Genomic DNA, 18,555 nt, shown 5'->3' with positions numbered 1-18,555 from the left:
AGTGACATTTTAAGTATAATTTTTTCTATTTCTAGAAATTAAACACTAAAAGGTAAAACAATGGTTTTCGGGTAATGCCCAATAGAGTATGGGGCTACCCTTTTTAAAAAAATAAAATTAGATTAAAATGTCTGGTAAGAAAATATTTCTATTTCCAGATTCAAATATAAGTTTGTTTATCAAATGCCTTTCAAACATTACAGCATTAATCTATATAAAACTTTGTATTCAGAAATAGGTTCTGCCTGAGAAAGCAGGTTTTTGACTGCTAACAAGGTGCTAATATCCACACCACCACGCCGTACCTTTCTGCCAACTGACTTGGCTTGTATTTAATTAGACCACAAGATGTTGGACCGAGTATAGTGCAAGTTACATAAGTTTCACAATTTAGATCTCCTGATGTCAGTACCTTTCGTTACAGCAGAAAACAACATTGGAATCATGGGAATAAAGGGAATCTTAAAAATGAAATTATGAAGAAAAACATTGATTCATTTTAAGAAAAAAATGATGAGAGAATTTCAGTTTTTTTAAAAGATGACACATGCATTTTGCAGGTGTGTATTTGAAAGTAGACTCAGATGAAATTTTGAGTTTTTCTAATAGAAAGCATATTTTTTAGTGGGAGGGAGAGGAAAGACTCAGCTATTTTAGATTCTTGGAAGAATCTTGAAAAGTTATGTGTAAAGTATGAGAAAATAAAATATTAATTAGCTCCCATTGAAAAAGGGGTGAGCTCCTTCATAAAACACTCCCCTGAAAGAACAAATCAACCTTCCACAGCTATGTAAAAAACACAATGGGTATAATAATATTCAGTGAGATGGTATGTGAGGAAACATTGCAATTTATATTTGGTAAATGTTGTGTCTATAAATTTTTTCAACCAGATTGTGCTAAACAAATATAAATAAATATAAGGAAAAAACACCAGACTCAAATCAAGTGCACCAGGTATGTTGGGAACTGTTAGGTGGGAGGAAGGACACTTACTATGAGACAGGTTTTAGGGAGGTAACTGATATGTCAGTTAAGTTGACATTGCTGTCACTGAATGCCAAACCAAGTCCCCAGACTGCTTCTCTGCTTCATGCTTGACTCCTCTTTTTATTCAGTGACCCCTAAATCATTAAGAGGCAAGTTTTAAACACAGGAACAGTCACAGATTTCCTTTTTTTCAAAAGTTCAAACGCTAGGCCCCTAACATTTTCAATTTATCTCAGTACAACAAAACTCCTATTTTGACATTTCAGCATCTCTCAATTCTTTCTTCTAATAACCAAATCTCTGCTTCCCAGTGAGAACTCTCTTGGAGGCCTATTGTACTGGGGTAATTATACATATATTATAGATGTTAGTCTAAGACTGTCTGAGCCTCAGCTTTCTCATTTGCAATGTAGAGATAACAATACTTCACTTTTTTGTGTGTGACAATAAAAATTCAAGAACAATGTTAAGCCACTTAATGAGGGCTAAATATCAGGTGCAATGCTAAGCATGTTATGATGTTATCTAATTTGATTTAACTCTTACAATGAGCCTACGATGATGGTATTATCTATCTTCACTTTACAAAAAAATTGAGGCTTAGAGAAATTAAGTAGCACCGTAAGCAGTAGAGGTGGCACTGGTACCTGGACTGCTTTACTTCCATGCCTGGGATTGTAACTAGCCTCCCTAGGAGGTCAAGGACCAAACACAGTCTGACACATAGAGTAGAGTCAATGTTAGTTCTCTCTCTTATGCTTTGTTTCTTTCATTTGCGGTGGTGCACACACATGATTTTTGCTGCCAAGATTTTGTTTCCTCTGTCCTTTCACCTGAAAAGTTTCTCTGTGATTCTTTGGCAATAAAATTCTACACAATTTGAAAGCTTGGCTCAAGTGACTTCTCACAGAGTTCTTCCTAGTCACTGGGATATTGATCTTTTTAACTCATCCAGCTTTTACTGGTTACAGATGTCATTTGGGAATGCCATAGTGTGTTGTACTCTTACTTAACAATTTGCATCTGTTATTTTGAAACATTATAGGTTCACTTTGCAAGAAAAGTGACAGCATTTTGGAATGGTGGGTTTTGAGAATTTTGAGATTTTCTAATAGAAAGCATATTTTTTCATGGGAGGGAAAGGAAAGACTCAGCTATTTTAGATTCTTGGAGGAATCTTCAAAAGTTATGTGTAAAGTTTGAGAAAATAAAATATTAATTAGCTCCCATTGAAAAAGGGGTGAGCTCCTTCATAAAACACTCTCCTGAAAGAACAAATCAACCTTCCACAGCTATGTAAAAAACACAATGGGTATAATAATATTCAGTGAGATGGTATGTGAGGAAACATCGCACAGACTCAGGAGATAGAGTGCCTGGGTCTGAATTCCAGTTTTGCCATTTACTAGATGTGTGACTTTGGACAAGTTACTTAACCTTCCTGTACCTTAGCCTCTTCTTCTATCAAATGGACCTAATAATAAACACTGCTTAATCAGAAATTTGCTGTGAGGATTAACTGAGTTAATATTTGTTAGAAATTAGATGCAAACATGACACGTAAGTGCTATAATGGTGTTAGTTTGTTGAATAAATACATTTTCTTCATTGGATCTTTTTCAACAACTATGTAATGCTTACAGCACACTAGATACACCAGATGTTTGTTGATTTATTAATTGGCCAGGTTTTGATTTACCTTTCCTCATTCATAATTAATTTGAATTTTCAATGACCTACTATGGAGAAGATATAGAGTTGAAGTTGAGGATTCAAAGCTGTCTGACCTCAAGGGGTTCAGAAGTTATACTTGAGGGTTAATTAATTATTCAATATTATGTTGCATAATTATTAGTCAATGGTATATTGAAATAACTGTATTGAATTATATACAAAATTATATTGAAATAATTCAATACTATAGCTTCATTCTAGTAACTGTGGTCAAGCTGCCTAGTACTTCTAGAAATAGGGCTCCTTGGCCAATATCTAAGTTCGATGAGGTTTACAATTGTCTTATTCTCCTCTATCATTCATTTTACGTATATATAATTATATATATTATTAAATATATATTATATAAATATCATTTAGCATATTTTAAGTATACTGTTATCCTCTTAAGGCTTAAATACTTCTACTCACTTATTCAACATTTACTGAGTTTCAGGTTTTGTGCTAGGTGATGGGAATACTAAGTTCAATAAGACATATATCCTGTCTTTAGGGACTTGACGGTCAAGTGTTGGCGGTCAGCAACAGCCTGCCACCTGTTTTTGTAAATAAAGTTTTATTGGAACATTGCCATGATTTTTCATTTACACATTGACTGTGGCTATATTTGTGCTACTCTGACATTTTATGCTACAATGTCAGAACAACAGAGACCACATGGGCCACAAAGTCTAAAATATTTACTATTTGGGGCTTTACATAAAAGTTTGCAGATATGTGGTCTAGTGGAATGTACTGAAGTGTCTCTTTGAGGAGGATACTGTTTGGATTTCAGGGTTGCTGATTCTGAGGTTGGTAGTTATTCACAATTTCTTTAGAAAACTAGCACTTTCAAAAACTTGAGTGAAATAAGCAGTAGCTGTTGTCCAAAGCTTCTCAGATATGATTGTGCGTGGTCATCTAAGAAAAGTTAACGAAGAATGAATTATCATTCTGGGTTCTTCAAAGAGTTTGCAATAGTTGTTGCCCAAGTACTTGACTAATGCAGTTTCTAAGCAATAAGGATACCATGTTAATACGGACCTGAAAAACCATGGCTGAACACTGTGGAATAGAAATTGTGGATCCTACGGCATTCTTTTTCATTTCAGAACTATTGTAAAAGTAGATTACATAGTATATACAATAACACTGCAAAGGATGTAATTTTTGAAGCATTTTAGATTTTATATATTAAAATAGAACTAATGAGTTTCATTTAAATATACCAATGGAATCTAAATCTCAAAATGTTTTAATAGCATATCATACATTTGAAAAGAAAATGTATAAACTCTTTTACAGAAATTTTACAATATCTACTTTCTCCTTGAATTCATACTTTCACTTCCTGCACATGATTTTATTCTAATGTCTAAATTCTCATGTTTGAAAGTCTTTTATTAGTTACTAGGTTATACCACTCTCCAAAAAAAAGTAAGTATATATTTTAGACTTAACCATTTTTTTCTCTGTGAACACAGGTTCTGAGTTAAAATTCCTTCTAGATTGAATTATTATCATTATCACTAGAACACAATTGATAAAAATCACACAAATATGTTACAAATGTTATATTTATTAGGTTGGTGCAAAAGTTATTGCGGTTTTTGCTGACGTAATGGCAAAAACTGCAATAACTTTTCCATCAACCTAATACTAAATATAAGAATAAATATTAAAAGAAAAATTATCTGTTAATGGACCAGAGCGAGGTTTTTTTCTTTCACTTAATTCTGGTACTTTTGCTTGACTATTATTTACTACTAGGATGTAATGGGGTTTCACATCGATTCTATTTATATTTTTGTTTTTAGGAATACAAGTGTTGAAAAACTTATTCACAAAAATATGCAGAGGAAAGTGGAACTAATTTTGCCATAGCAATTGAACTCACTTCTTTAAACTCATTCTGAGATATATGCCTCAAATCACATAGCATTCTATTATCAAAAACTATTTTAATGACCAATAACTGATAATTTGAATACATCTTCCTTCAATTTCATTGAAAGTAAAGGAAACTACCTGACTTGCAAAAGACGATTTTGCTCATTCATTAAAATCGATCATTTTCTCAGCATCAAAATCAATATTTCAAATTGTCTGTTTTTTACTGCAATGGAAGTTTTCCGTGTTGGGAACCATGCACATAATAATATTTGAAATGAGTGAGAGAGTTCAATCTTTCTTTGTGGAGTGGAAATGAGATTATTGTAAAGGGGGAGGCAGAAAAGAGGAAGCAGCTTTCTCAGAGAATACACAAAAAAACTGAGGATCCTAAAGTGATTCTATTCGGAAAACCTTCATATAGTCCTAGGGCAACATTTCTCAATCTCAGCATTATGGGCATTTTGGACAGGATAGTTCTTTGCCTTGTGGGCTGTCCTGTATATTGCAGGATGTTTAACAGCATTCCTGACCTCTACCTGTGGGATGTTTGTAGCATCTTCTCAGTTGTGATAACTCCACATTTTTCTAGATATTGTCATTGATCTCCTGCAGGGCAAAATCACTGCCTGTTTTGAATCACTGTATTAGGGGTGTTAGTACTAATATATGAAGACTACTTTAGCAGTGAACATCATAATGAATTCTTCCCTATTAAATACCAATGAGTTTATAACAGTCTTATGAGCAAATTGAGATTCTTCATTTACCACAGAGTGTAGGAATATTTAAAGCATTCCCACAACTCCACCAATGGGAATCAATTCATCATTCATCTTGTATTTTGAGAACTGGTATGTCTGTGTTGATATTCTTTAACATCCTTAGGAATTGCAGTCTTGCAGCTTTGTCAGGGGATAGACACAAGCTAGTTTAATGGAGACAAATTGAAGACTAGCTGACTAATTTTTCTATATGAGTATCCTGATTTTTCCTCTAACATTTAAAATAAATTTCCCCAATTAGGAGCCTTTAGAGACAAAAAGCACAGTATTAATCCACTGTTAAAGAATTTAATAAGGCAGAATTCTTCTTTTCTCAATGATGGAAAAAGTTTTTTTAAATTCATTTTTCTTCTTATTATTGTTATCACTTTTATTATTGCCATTTCTAGTACCTATTGTGAACTGTAATATACGATTCTCAAAAAGACCAGACTCTAAGGTCTTGTGAGTATGGGATGGAATCCTATTCACCTGTGTATCTTCCAACCTTAAGATAGTGTCTGGTGCATAATAGATCCTTGATAAATGTTGGATGATGAAGGAAAGAGCAGTTGTGCAACATCAAATCAGTTAATTTTATAAATGAGCCATTAAACTTTCAACTTTAACCTTATTATCATACTAGATGACCTCAGGCAAATGGATGAGCTAAAACACAATGAGTGAAAGATAAAGCATAGCCTTATTACTATGCCAGAGTAACTGAACATTCATTCACCTTGACACTTTTTTTTTTCTTTTCTTTTGCTATATAGATGAGGGCTTGCTATGTTGCCCAGGCTGGTCTTGAACTCCTGCCCTAGCCGCCTTATGTGCCAGGACCACAGGCCCGGGTCACTGTGCCTCCCACACTTTGACACTTACAACTAATCTACAGAGACTGTGTGGGAAAAGTTGAAAGGAGAGAAAAAAAAAGAAGAAGAAAATAGTTTCTAAGATGTTAATATCAAGGGGTGATTTCTAACAGTTTTATGTTTTCTTCAATTGCTCTTTTATGGATTTTTATTTAATTTAAATCATATAGTACATACAATTTTGCATTTTACTTATTTTTTGTTAGTCTTTATGTTTAGTGAGGTCAGGACGATGTCTTTTTTGCTTACCATTTTATCCCCAGTACCTAAAATAAATGATTAAGTACATGTAGAGATTTAATGCCAGTGACGTATATTGAATACATCATGAGTATATAATAGTATACACAGTGAATACATATTACATGAAAGTATGTGGTAAAGAGCATTACAACTAAGGTTTCCCTAAACATCACTGTGAGGCTGCAATACGTTTTTAGGCACAGGTCTTTAGGTATAAAGTCTTTTTTGTACTTTAGTTTAGTTCTTTGGAAAGATCCCAGAAGGTGAATTACTGGGCTAAAGAGTATGATATTTTTAAGGGTTTAAGTTAAAAGACTGTATCACTATAAATTCCTGCTACAGAATATGAGGGTGTCATCACAACTGCTATTATTTGACAGGTGAAGATGCTACTCATTCTGTTTGCATTCTTTAATAAGTGAAGTTGAGCTCTTTTTTTCAAATGTTTATTAACCACTTATATTTCCTCCTTTTATAAATCAAATATTTATATTTTTGATCTGGTACAATTTTTTGAAGTGTGGAAACTACATTTTAAAACTGTTTAAAAAGCACTCTTTTATATTTTAGGGTTTTCTTTGATCTGGGTACTCTGGACACATTCCTATTCATACCTGTCCTGCGTAGCTCACAAGATTGTTGGGTGTGTCATTGAGACAGTGGCTACATAAGCTTATTGAGAGCTATAGAGTACGAAACACAGGCAAGAGATTATTATAAATTTTAACTGCTATTACATTTTGTAGAGATGAGACTGCATCTGTCAGCTCCTCTCAGGTTTACATAGTTCCTCTCTTAAATGTTTTCAGAATTTTCCTTAAGAGCAGCTGCAGAACAGACTGACAGGATTAGTGAATATGAAGAAACATACCACTATATCTAAAATGGAGCAAGCAAAGAAGATATTTTACATGCTGTAAAACAAAGAGGATCACCTGAGATAAGTGTACAATCTTTTCCAACCTGATATTGTTAAACACAGTAGTAGATACTAAATATAAGAGGAAGAAACCCATTGTGGCTCATTTTCTTTCTAATAGCATCTGTGGTCAAATTTAGTCAAATTGTGGGTGTCAGGACCATTCTATAATACGATCAATTGGAGTCCTGCAGAATAAATGAAGAGTAGGGTTGGTATTTCAAGCTATGTTTTTTATAGTACAGTTTACATTAAAGAGGCCTGAAAAATCACTAACAGTAGACTAATAACTGTGCTTTTAAAGAATTGCAAATTAACTTCATTTGAAAGCATAAAAATCAACCGCATAAATGATAGCTTGATGTAAGGAATATTATGTTTCAGCCAAAATGCAAAACAAATTAAATTGCAATATTGTTAAGGAGGAGCAGAACTCCGCATTTCTTTAGAATTAATGTCAAATGTAATTTTTTTTTCTTTATAATGCTCAGCATGATTAGACATGGCACCTTCTTAATGTTGTCAAGGTTCCTTCCTTAAGAAAACATCTTATGCTTGTACACAACACAGAAGGATGATAATAGGCCTTTGATTTAAATAGTGTGTTGATGAGAGTTCCAGTCTCAGTCAATCAGACAAAATTAATTAAGATCAGGTGGATAAATGGTGGTATGCTCAGCTATTAACACAGTTTTTTCATTGAAATGCTTATAGCTGAAGATAGAGAACCCGCCTCTTAACAGGCATAAAAACTAGAGGAAAGAATTGACAAGCTGAGGGTCAAATGAGTGCATTCACATCACAAACTAAAAATGCATGTTGGCTATTGAATGAAGAGAAATTTTTTATTGTCTTCATAGCTATTTCTGATAAAATTGCTGCCTTAAAGTGGATACAGATTCTTAGTGAGGAAAAAAATCCATAAATATGCAATTTTTTCAAAATTTTGAAATATATATAAAAGGAGATCTATTTGTTTATAAAATTAAATATTTGGAACTTTCCAGGGAATAATTATGGAAAGATAAAAAATTTACTACTTATACTTTGAATTTGTTATTATTTTGACTAGACAGATCTAGTTCATAATCTATAGATTTTTCCATAATACTTATTTTATTTTAGTTTTTCCTGAGATTGGTAAATGCCATTATCATTATTTTGGGAGTGAAAGCTGTGGAGAGCTATGGTTTACCCAAGGGGATCCTGTGATTAAATAATAGTTTTACTGTATTATTCTCTATTCTTCATGTGGTCAAAACACTGGTGAGAGTTGTGGTAACAAGTTTTATCTTAAGGGCCAATGCTGGCCAAACGGTAGCGGAGGTTGCATTCAGACTTAGCAAGTATTAATGCCATAGTTGATTAGGGATATCTACTACGAATACAGGGGTGGCAAAAAATAGTATGGCCAGAGAGAGAGAGAGAGAGAGAGCATAGATTAATAAAAATAGAACTGGATTCAGGCAGGAACCCTTGTTTCCAGTCAAATGTTGATATTAGTCTCTTTTAACAAATAATTATGACCAAGTCATCGATTTTTCTCATTTAAGAAAATGAGACATAATCAATATTGGACATTTGAGAAATTCAAATGGAACAAATAGTATCTAAGGAATTCCTTAAGACTTTTATAAGAAATGTAGTTTTGCTGTGCTTGAGACTGTTATCTTGGAGGGTATTGCTTCTTAGACATCATAAGTGCTCAATATTTAAGATTCGCTGAGTTACATTTACACCTTCTTCACTATAGAAGGTGTCACCTACAACTCTGTCAGATAGTTCCCTTTACTTTTAAAGCATTATTTTAGTTTCAAAAAGTATGGCTTTTACTCTTAATCAATACACAAATCAACCATGTTAGACAACCTTTCAAAAATCATTAATGAACATAAGGATACAGTACAATTTTGGTGGAAAAAATTCCAAATCAGTTTATTTTATTGCAAAAGAACACTTTCTAAAACCAATCACATAAATTTTAATTTATTCTGACATAAGTGGCAGCCAGAACTTATCTTTGGTTATATTAGTAAGCAAAGCAAAAACACAACTGGAAGGGTATTAATGCTGTCTGACTAGGATTCTCATTATTGATATTTCTGAGTTGTCCTTGGGATAATTTACTCCAAAAGCTCTTTTCCTTTGGTACTTAACTTTTTTTGAAATCACAAGAATGAAAGTATATATGCAAGGATAAAAGTGCTTAGAATTAAGCTTATTAAAAGTAGTCAGCATTTAAGTGGGGAAAAAAACTCAGCATATTGAACTGTTTGTTTTAAATTTAATTTTAGAGCAAACAGATCAATAAGTTGAGATCTGAAAAAATTCTAAATAATTTATTTAAAATATTTTATTTTTGTAAAAAATAAAGTATTGCCAAGAAGGATGTACCTTAACGATATGATGTGTTTTTCCTGAACAAATGTTCCTCTATTCTACCAGACTGTGTGGCATTTGCTCATACTCAACAACTGTGAAAATTTGGAACAAGGTTTCTTCTCCTTTCTTTAAAAGTCTTTAATTCCTTTACATATGCCAGGCACAATTTATATACAAGTTAACAGGAAATGTTTTGTGTAATAATTTTATTATTTGTCCTGGCAATGATAATGAAAGCCAGTTATTCATTAGAAACTCAGTATGTCTAAGTTCTTGAAGCTTGTGTGTTCTTGTTTAGTTCTGGATTCTGGAAGTCAACAGCTGCTGGATGGTTAAATATGATTTGAGTGTTTATTCTGGTTCAAGCTATATGCTAACATTTTTACTTCGGAAACTTAGAATATGAGTTTTCATACTAATGCAGAATTACAAACTCATACGAAGCACTATGTGATCCTTTCCTTGGAGAGGTGAAATGAAACTTTTTAAATGTAGCCTGTCAAATACAACTGGTTTCACTAATTTTCATTACACTAGGCAAATAACAATAGTATGTCTGCATTTCATGTTCTCAGAGCAAATTACCAGCAACAACACATTTTGATCCTATTTAATAAGATTGTCTTTAAATTGCTTTTTAATGGAAAAACCAAAATAGCAGTTTACTGTTTACTAAGTATGATGCATATTTACATAAAAGCTAGAGAAAAACACTAGACTTAAGTTATATGTAACACTTCAAGTAAAACGACTGTTCTCCAATGGTTTAGCCTCCATTCACCAACCAGAATAGTACACTGGCCCAGGCATAACATGAAGTGGTTGTATGTGTCCATTGTCACATAACCTAGGAACACCAGAGACAAATTGCAATAAGGCGTGGGTGAATGATTGTCCAGAAAACTGGTTGTCTTATTAAATAGCTGTTTAATCAGGCTAGTAAAAGTTACAGGAGACTTCCAAGCCTTCATCTTTTTGGAAAAACCTCAAGAAATGAAATCATTCATGCACTTCTCGAATTCTTCTATTTCCAAGAAAAAATCTGGAATTACCATAGCCACTATGTTATCTGGATATTGTTACAACCGAAGGGCACAATTCCTTGGTCTAATATATTGTAGTTAATATTCAGCATTTAAAACAATTATTTGTGTTTCAGGACTTAAAAGGTATGACTCTGTGGTCCTGCCCACTATGTGGAAATTTGAAGATGAGATTCATGCTAATGCAGAGGGTTATGGCCAAGAGTGACAGTTTGGCTGCCTGCAAGTTTCAAATGGAGGCATTTGCTTATGTGAGTTTATCCCAGCTCAGAGTCTGTTTTTCAGCTTTGTGGTCTGAGAAATTTGATCTTACCAGTGTTTCAGAGTAGATCAGACATTAGTATGAGGACCCATGTTAACTAAGTTCACAAGAGCTAATGTGTAAGACCAGAATGACAGACTATCCTTTCAAAATGACTGAGCTTTAACTGAGGACTGTAGTGGACACTTTTTTCAGCCTGATCAGCAACTCACTCACAGTGCTGGGATGGAACCAGCTAATATTTGCCTCTCACACTCAGGTTTTTATTACTAAGAGTCTCCAGAATTTTCCTTCTTTAAATATGCCGAAGAAAGAGAATAGCTCAAAAGTCAGCAAGTGTTGATTTTATAACTTAATCTTCAGAGTACAGTATTATATCCAAGTATGTGGAATGGAAGAATTTGAAGAACATCATTGTGGCCTTCAGATACGGCCTACATACTCTATTACTTCAATGGGTTTTGTTCTACTTGATATCTAGTAATCTAAGGTACTCTCTAGAGCAGATATCACTACTTTCAGATAATAGTATTAAAGAAAATGAAACTCAATATACATCAGTCATTTCCTTTTTTTAAAAAATAAATAAGAATTTTCCTTATAAAAACAAATGTATATGGATATTATAAAGTATTTTTACGTTTTCTTTTTCTTGGTGATACTTTTTTTTTTTTAAAACAAGCTGTACCCTCTTCCTTACACTGATACTCGTCTCACCTTCAATATACTTTCTTTTTGTAATTTTAAAAATTGCCTTAAAGGATTTTGTTTTCAATTGTCACTTGAGAACAATTTTACTACTAAAAGTTTTGAGAGCAATACTATTATTTGTGCTACATCAGGTTATGTTCTTTTTGGAATAGTTCTACTATAAACTCAATTTCACATAACACCAACTATATAAGGCAACTGAGGAGTACAACTAACAGTAATTTAATGGACCTCATTTATGATGAACAAATTAACCCAAAGAGGGAGTTCTACTTATCTTTAGAGGCCCATCTCAAACATCACTTCCCCTTTGAGAGCTAGTCTGACTTTCTGGTAGCGTCCTTGCCATGTTCCATTCTGCTTTCTCTTTGATCCTAGCTTCGACTACTGACTGTGCTTTATTAACCTGAGCATCCCTGGGGTTCAGCCCTGTACCTTACTTTGGGTGGATGTATTCAATAAATCTTTAATAAATAAATATGTGAGTCATGTACATTTCTTTTTATATATATGGCTGTAAAAGATGACATCATCTTTGAGCTTATTCTTTTTAAAATTAAAACTGAAATATTTTGGGGAAGATGGTATCATTCTTGTACTTGAGAGTATATCTTAATTTGGGCTCCTAAAAATGAGTCGATCAATGAGTTTGACAAAGTTTTCAGAACAGATGAGAATCAAGCTTAGCTGGTTTCAGATAAGGAGAGACATTTGTATTTGAAAATATTAAAACAAAACAAAACAAAATAAAGCTGGTCAGAAAATTAAAATTAAATAAATCTGCATTTTTTGCAGCTAATAATACTCATTTATTTCATGCCAAGTTCTGGTTATAAATGCCAAGGCCTTTTTAAAAAGCTCTTGCTGTTTCTTTTTTAAGGATAATTTTGTGCTTAAATTCAGAATACCATTTGTACATCTAATTCAGTCCTAAAATATTGTATATCTCTGGTTGTCACATGATTACAACATAATCTAGTGAAATTTAGTTAATGGTGTAGCAGTCTTTAAAAGAAGAATTCTATATTGGGCAGTTGAGTGAGAATTTTTTAAATACACAATTTAAAATTAATTTATTGCAATTATTTATTGAAAAAAGCTTTACTATAAGGTAAACTATGTAACAGTTTTCTTTAAGCATCCCAAGTTTTTCATATACTCCACAGTGCCAAGATATTTGGTTTATATGAGCACAAAGTAATACGTAGGGTAGTAAGAAAAGCATAATTTAGTAAACAACCAGATTAATTTGATCTTTCTTTACTGATGTCCGTGATTCCTCTAAATTAGCCAGGACCACATGATATCATAACTAATCACACAAAAATGACATTAGTAAATACCCATTTTAGTAATTTTAATGTCAGCATACCCAGCCAGTTAATAAAATATTTACTACCCAGAGGTGAACATGCTTAAGTCAAAGCAAATTACTTTTGTTCTTTTATAAGAGCATATTTTTGAGTAAGATTTTAGCCTTATATTTTGGCGAAGGCAAGATGTTCGTTTTGGCTTTTGTAAAAACATGCCTATTTCAAGAATGTTCTAATGTAAATTTAACACAAAATGTATCATTTAATTATTACTATAAAGTTGTAATCTATTTACAATATTTATAAAATAACTACTAACCAAGCAGCATGCAGGACATATTGAGTATAAAATACTGTACCTTCTAAGTGTTATTTTTTAATGTTTTAAATGCTTATTATGCAAGGTGTACAACAATGGTGGGTAGAATATATATTGAATAATTCTTGCTCCTCAGATATGCACTAATAAATTTGCACTTATTACAGAGCCACCAAATCTGGGACTTGAGATATTAATGGCCACGTAGGTATATTTTAGAGGTTACCTGAGCAAGCCAAAATTCTAAGTGGTTTGAAATATACAATAATTTTGTCACATTATGATCACAATATTTCCTTTCATAAGAATCTACCCCCAGTGCCATTAGTTAACCACATGGTTATTATATGTAGCTTGATTCACTATAAATGCCGTTATAACACCTGTGGTTTCCCTCATTAAGAATTGAATGGATGGGGTCAGGGGTTGAAAGGGCAGCATATGCGCTATGAAAGAACTAGTTAACATAGCCTATTATATTGGTGCACTGGTAAATCTCATTTCTATTCATCAGATGATTAGTTCAATCAATATTTATTCCTCTATGCTTCCTTTGTCTTGCGCTACAAAGGAGACATCCTTCAAATTCATGGCATAAACCTTGTTATCTATGAATTTGTTGCTTAATTTGAGAGGGAATATTTTATTTACTTGGCAGTCCTGAATTCTTTGATTCCCTTTCCCTCTAATTATCATTAGGTAGTATAATGGAGTTTTGTGTAGATTATTTATAAATAGATGTTATTAACAGTTTCTTTTTTATGCGACTCTAGTACCACGTGTATTCATATCTTCCCTTTGAATGCTCTGGAAAGTTGCTCTGTTTCTCTAAATATGTTTGAGTTTGGAAGTCTGGATTGTGAAAGCAAAGATAAGAATGATTTTCTCTCTCAAATATTCATTCTTCTTGTCTGAGTGGGTGGTTATAGGCACATACATATACATATTGCGTATCAGTGTGTATCAACAGACGCCTCCAAAGACTGCTATTATCTGCTGGGGATTCTGTTAAGTCAGAGATTCTATTCAAAGTAAGATAAATATTTGCAAAAAGCTGTAATTGGAAGATGATTACAAAATTACAGGAATAATACTTTTTGTTTAGAGTGCTTATTTCATCAAAGGTCATCATTCATTATATCACAAAAGACTTATTTCATTAGTCAGCTTGATTTCTATCCTTTAGATAAGAATAGATAGAATAACAGAACTACATCTAGAATAAAAAACATACATTAATTATTAAGCATAATTTCCATTTCTAATATTTACTTTTCTATATATTTTAACATCACAATAAATGTTTTGTTAATGTTAATTAAATGAATGCCAGTATAAATAAAGCCTTTACTTTTTTTTGTCTTTGTAGAATAAATACAGAAGTAGTTTAGTCTTAAGAAATTATCCTCATATTATTAAAATGTCACCTCAATCACTAATAACTTTTGCACTCACAATGTATGTGCTTATGAACCTTTGATGTGTTTCAATTTGGCCAGAATTTGACAGTCTTCACTTTGGAATTAATTCTTATTTCCTAATATGTTTAGTCGTAAGGCTTAAATTTCACCAATGCACACTGGCACTGATATTATTGTTCACAATTTTAAGCCTCACTTTATATACAAATTTGCAGAATCCCAGCAGACCCATGCATATATAATTTTTAACTAATAATTTTTAAAGTTATAATATTAAACTATTAATTGAATGCTATAATATGCACTTTAAATTAGAGGTGTATTATTCATTGCAATGGAATAATCTAGTAATACGCTGTGATTTATACTTTTATATCTTAGAACTATTGTAATGAGAGGTCTAAAAACCATATAGGCCATCTTGTATTTCTAAAAGGTGAATACAGGTTTATAAAAGGTGATGTCATAGCTGAAAAAGCAATTTACTTATCTTTTTATGTAGAAAAGCTTTTTGTATCAAATCGTATTAAATCCCTGTTGACAACTGTGTATACGCTACTTTTGGGGGAAAAAAGTAGGTATTATTATGAGATTTAAATGTCATTTTCATGAAGACCAACCCAAAAACTTTGTAATTTGGTGTAGTAAAATTATTGTTCCTGTAAAATTAGGTTTCATGGCTTGGAAACACTTAAATTTAAAATATAATCTATGCAAATACACTCCTGAATAGTTGTTTTTATGGCTGATCATAGTTTAGTATTATCAAATTGCTGCCAAAATAAGTAAATGTTAACATTCATATTTGGTTAAGAGTATAAAATAATGTTTTTATTTATATTAAATGATCACATAAACCACTTTAATAATGATGCAAAAACTCATCTCTTAGGGATTCTCTAATGAGCAAAAGCTATATTGTGGTTGATGGAAAATCCAAAGATTAGTAAGTTTTAAGTAAATGCCAAGAAAGGAGTTTTAATCTTGTGTCCCTCAGGTTTATAAAGTTTGCTGTTCAAAATTTCTTCATCTACATTTTCCTCCTGGTTTCCCAATTCGTGATTGTTAGAAAATATAGAAAAGTAAAAGCCTTGGTGGTACTAATACCTATCCCAGAAGTCCAGTATGTCAAGCACTTCTGTGTCATAATACTTGTTACAAACTCACCCATGATGCTGGGGGAGGAAGGAGGAGAGAGTCGCTAGATGTAACCATTTAAGAAAATATTTTTATTCTTATGGCTATATATTATTTCAACAATAGTTGAAATACAGCTTTAGGATTTCTTTTTAAACTGTTTGAATAATTACATTTCTTGGAATGAAGACAGCTTACTGATGATTACTTAATGAGCAATTATTAATGGACTACTAACAGAGATGTCCTTCCAGCAATGTTTTTTTTAATTGCGGGAGGTGGAATGTTGGTTAGAAATATTTAATTGGAACTTGTGGAGGAAATTAAGAGAGAGAACTTGTTTAGGTAATCTAAAGGCCCTGCCAGCAGGACATTCAGAGCTCCATACTTCTGAAGGGCTGCCATACCTCTGAGAGCAAGAAGCCTCTTTTCTAAAGTTTAGCACTTGGCAAAAATTAACTACCTGCAAATAATAGAGGAAAACTAGACTTTAAAAAAGCCAAACCCAATCCTTGTTTATAGCAAGTATAAAACCAGATTTCTAATCCGCCCCAGCGACAATCACCTATTGATTGCGACGACATCTGTGCCCCTGTTTTTGGAAGCAGGGTTTTCCGTGGAGGCAGGACTGAAAAATCCGACCATTTCCGCGCCCCTGTGTAATAAACAGCCCACAGATCTTTCAAGAAGGAACCCTGAAACCCACACCTCGGCTCACTTCTTTCTCACCTAGTGATGGGCCCAATTAAAGGTCCTCCCTTTCGCCTTCAGAAGTTATTCCTTTCAGTAATGAAATCTACGGAGAAGCCTCTCTAGAACTTCTGTGGTACCCTCTCACAGACAAAGGATGAAAGGCTTTGTGCGCCACCAAATACAACCTCCTCCGCCCCAGGCTAGAGTAAGCAACTGCGCTGTGTCCGGGACTCAGTTCAGCCGTGGGGCAGGACAAGGACGTCAAAGATCAGGGACTCTTAACCCCTTTCTTTCCCCGTAGCTTCCCTGGGGATAGTCTCTTAAATGCCCTAGGCGGGGGAGGAGTAGGGGGTGGGAATAGGTTTGCCGGATTGGCCCCGAGGGAGACCACTGAATCCCAGATCACCTTTCCGTCGCTCAAAGCGCCCTGATTCAGGACAGTTGTCAGCTGCAAACTGTGGAGCCCAGGCGCTAACTAGGACCACCTGGGAATGGAAAGCGCGCGCGTGTGGATGAGGGAAATGCAGTGGGCCCACCGTAAAGCCCAGGTCAAAAATGGCCCCTCTCCCAACATAGGGTGCTTAGTAGCCCTGCACGAGCGAAAGCTGATTCTTTTCCCGCTTTCACTTCTCAAGTTCACTCTCAAGTTCAACTCCCAACTCCACAAGACGTCAGAGTAGCCTGGATCTTTTCTCAATCCCATTCTTACGGAACAGCCTCTCATACTGTGGTAGGGCACTGTCCGGGGAAAATATGAAGAGGTAGTAAGGAAAGACACTAGGGGTCAGGAAAGGGCAACCAGGAATGGCGATAGAGTGACCTGGTCATCTTTTAAGCTTACATTTTCTCCAGCGCATTCCCCTAAGGCCGCCTGAGAGCTGCCTCAAGTTAGAAGTTGTAAGGGGTCCTAGGGCGCCTGGCGAGGCTGGCGCCCTCTTTGATAGGTCTGTGGGCTTAAACTGGTTTTCTCAAGGTGAGCATGAGGACCAGCGCCTGGCTTTCAATCCTTCCAGCTTCTGGAGTCCTCAAAGCGACCGCCGTGGCGAACCAGGACAGTCATCTGCAAACTGCTCCTTCAGGAGATGCTAGATCAAGCTACAACCCATCCCCACCCCGCGCCGCACTCCTTCTACGATGTAAGGAGTGAGCGGATTTTATGCCCTAGGTCCTAGTGCTGGGTCCGAGCTGAGGTGGCGCATAGTTTACGACGTTCAGAAAGTATGAACCCAGCCACAGGGGGAAAGTTAGAAGGGAAGAAGGGGAGGGACGAACTGGCAGCTCTGGACTGGGACGGGGGAAACCGAAAGAATGGATGGGATGGTGAGATGGGCTAGAAAAAGAAAAACAAAAGACCGGGCGTCTCTTACTAAGCCAAGGTTCTCTACTCTCCAATTGCCCAAGTATAGTTTCTTGAAAGAATTTAGACAGTGGAGCGTGTAACCAACCCCCAACCGGGACAATCAGCTGGAGCCAGCGCGCACACACACGGGTGCCCCACTCCCAGCGAGCCGGCCAATCAAGACCATCCCATCAGGACGTCCTTGTTTCTTATCTACAGTCAACCCCCTCCCCCATGGACAGTCTCTCTCCGTTCCTTCTTCTCCTTCCCTTTCCTGACACATCCCAGCGTCCAGCCAGCAAACCCTTGAGTCCAGGCTCGGGGCTCACCGGGTGCGGGAGGGAGTGGGAGTGAGACCCGCTGCCTCCTGGGGTGCTCCTCTAGGGGCGTAGGGGGACTGGGTGGGAGAGGATCACTTTCAGTGGAAGGAGGAGACCAGTGATTGCATCCCAACTCTCCCAAGTGCTCCCTGCCTAGACCACCTCTCTCCGGGTCTGGGATGCAAGAAGGTCTGGAGCTGGCCGTTACTAACTTTCTGTTG

The 18,555-nt window shown here is 34.9% G+C and overlaps 1 protein-coding gene across 1 annotated transcript in view, besides 2 other annotated features; it reads right to left on the bottom strand.

Annotated features, from left to right (window-relative positions):
• The window catches only part of RORB (RAR related orphan receptor B), a 195,843-nt gene that overhangs the window by 175,448 nt on the left and 1,840 nt on the right, over positions 1-18,555 (bottom strand). The gene's annotated exons all lie outside the window — the stretch shown is intronic.
• Positions 17,158-17,658: an enhancer, noted in NCBI's record as "H3K4me1 hESC enhancer chr9:77114988-77115488 (GRCh37/hg19 assembly coordinates)". NCBI's record gives its function as "activates a minimal SCP1, AML or CMV promoter by ChIP-STARR-seq in naive H9 embryonic stem cells {active_cell/tissue: H9 hESC(naive)}" and the evidence as "EXISTENCE:reporter gene assay evidence [ECO:0000049][PMID:30033119]".
• Positions 17,717-18,493: an enhancer, noted in NCBI's record as "H3K4me1 hESC enhancer chr9:77114153-77114929 (GRCh37/hg19 assembly coordinates)". NCBI's record gives its function as "activates a minimal SCP1, AML or CMV promoter by ChIP-STARR-seq in naive H9 embryonic stem cells {active_cell/tissue: H9 hESC(naive)}" and the evidence as "EXISTENCE:reporter gene assay evidence [ECO:0000049][PMID:30033119]".

This window comes from Homo sapiens, chromosome 9, assembly GCF_000001405.40.
Source record: "Homo sapiens chromosome 9, GRCh38.p14 Primary Assembly".
In the NCBI taxonomy this organism is placed as follows: domain Eukaryota; kingdom Metazoa; phylum Chordata; class Mammalia; order Primates; family Hominidae; genus Homo; species Homo sapiens.
Note: the sequence above shows the minus strand (reverse complement) of the source record. Positions and strands in the feature narration are given on the sequence as shown.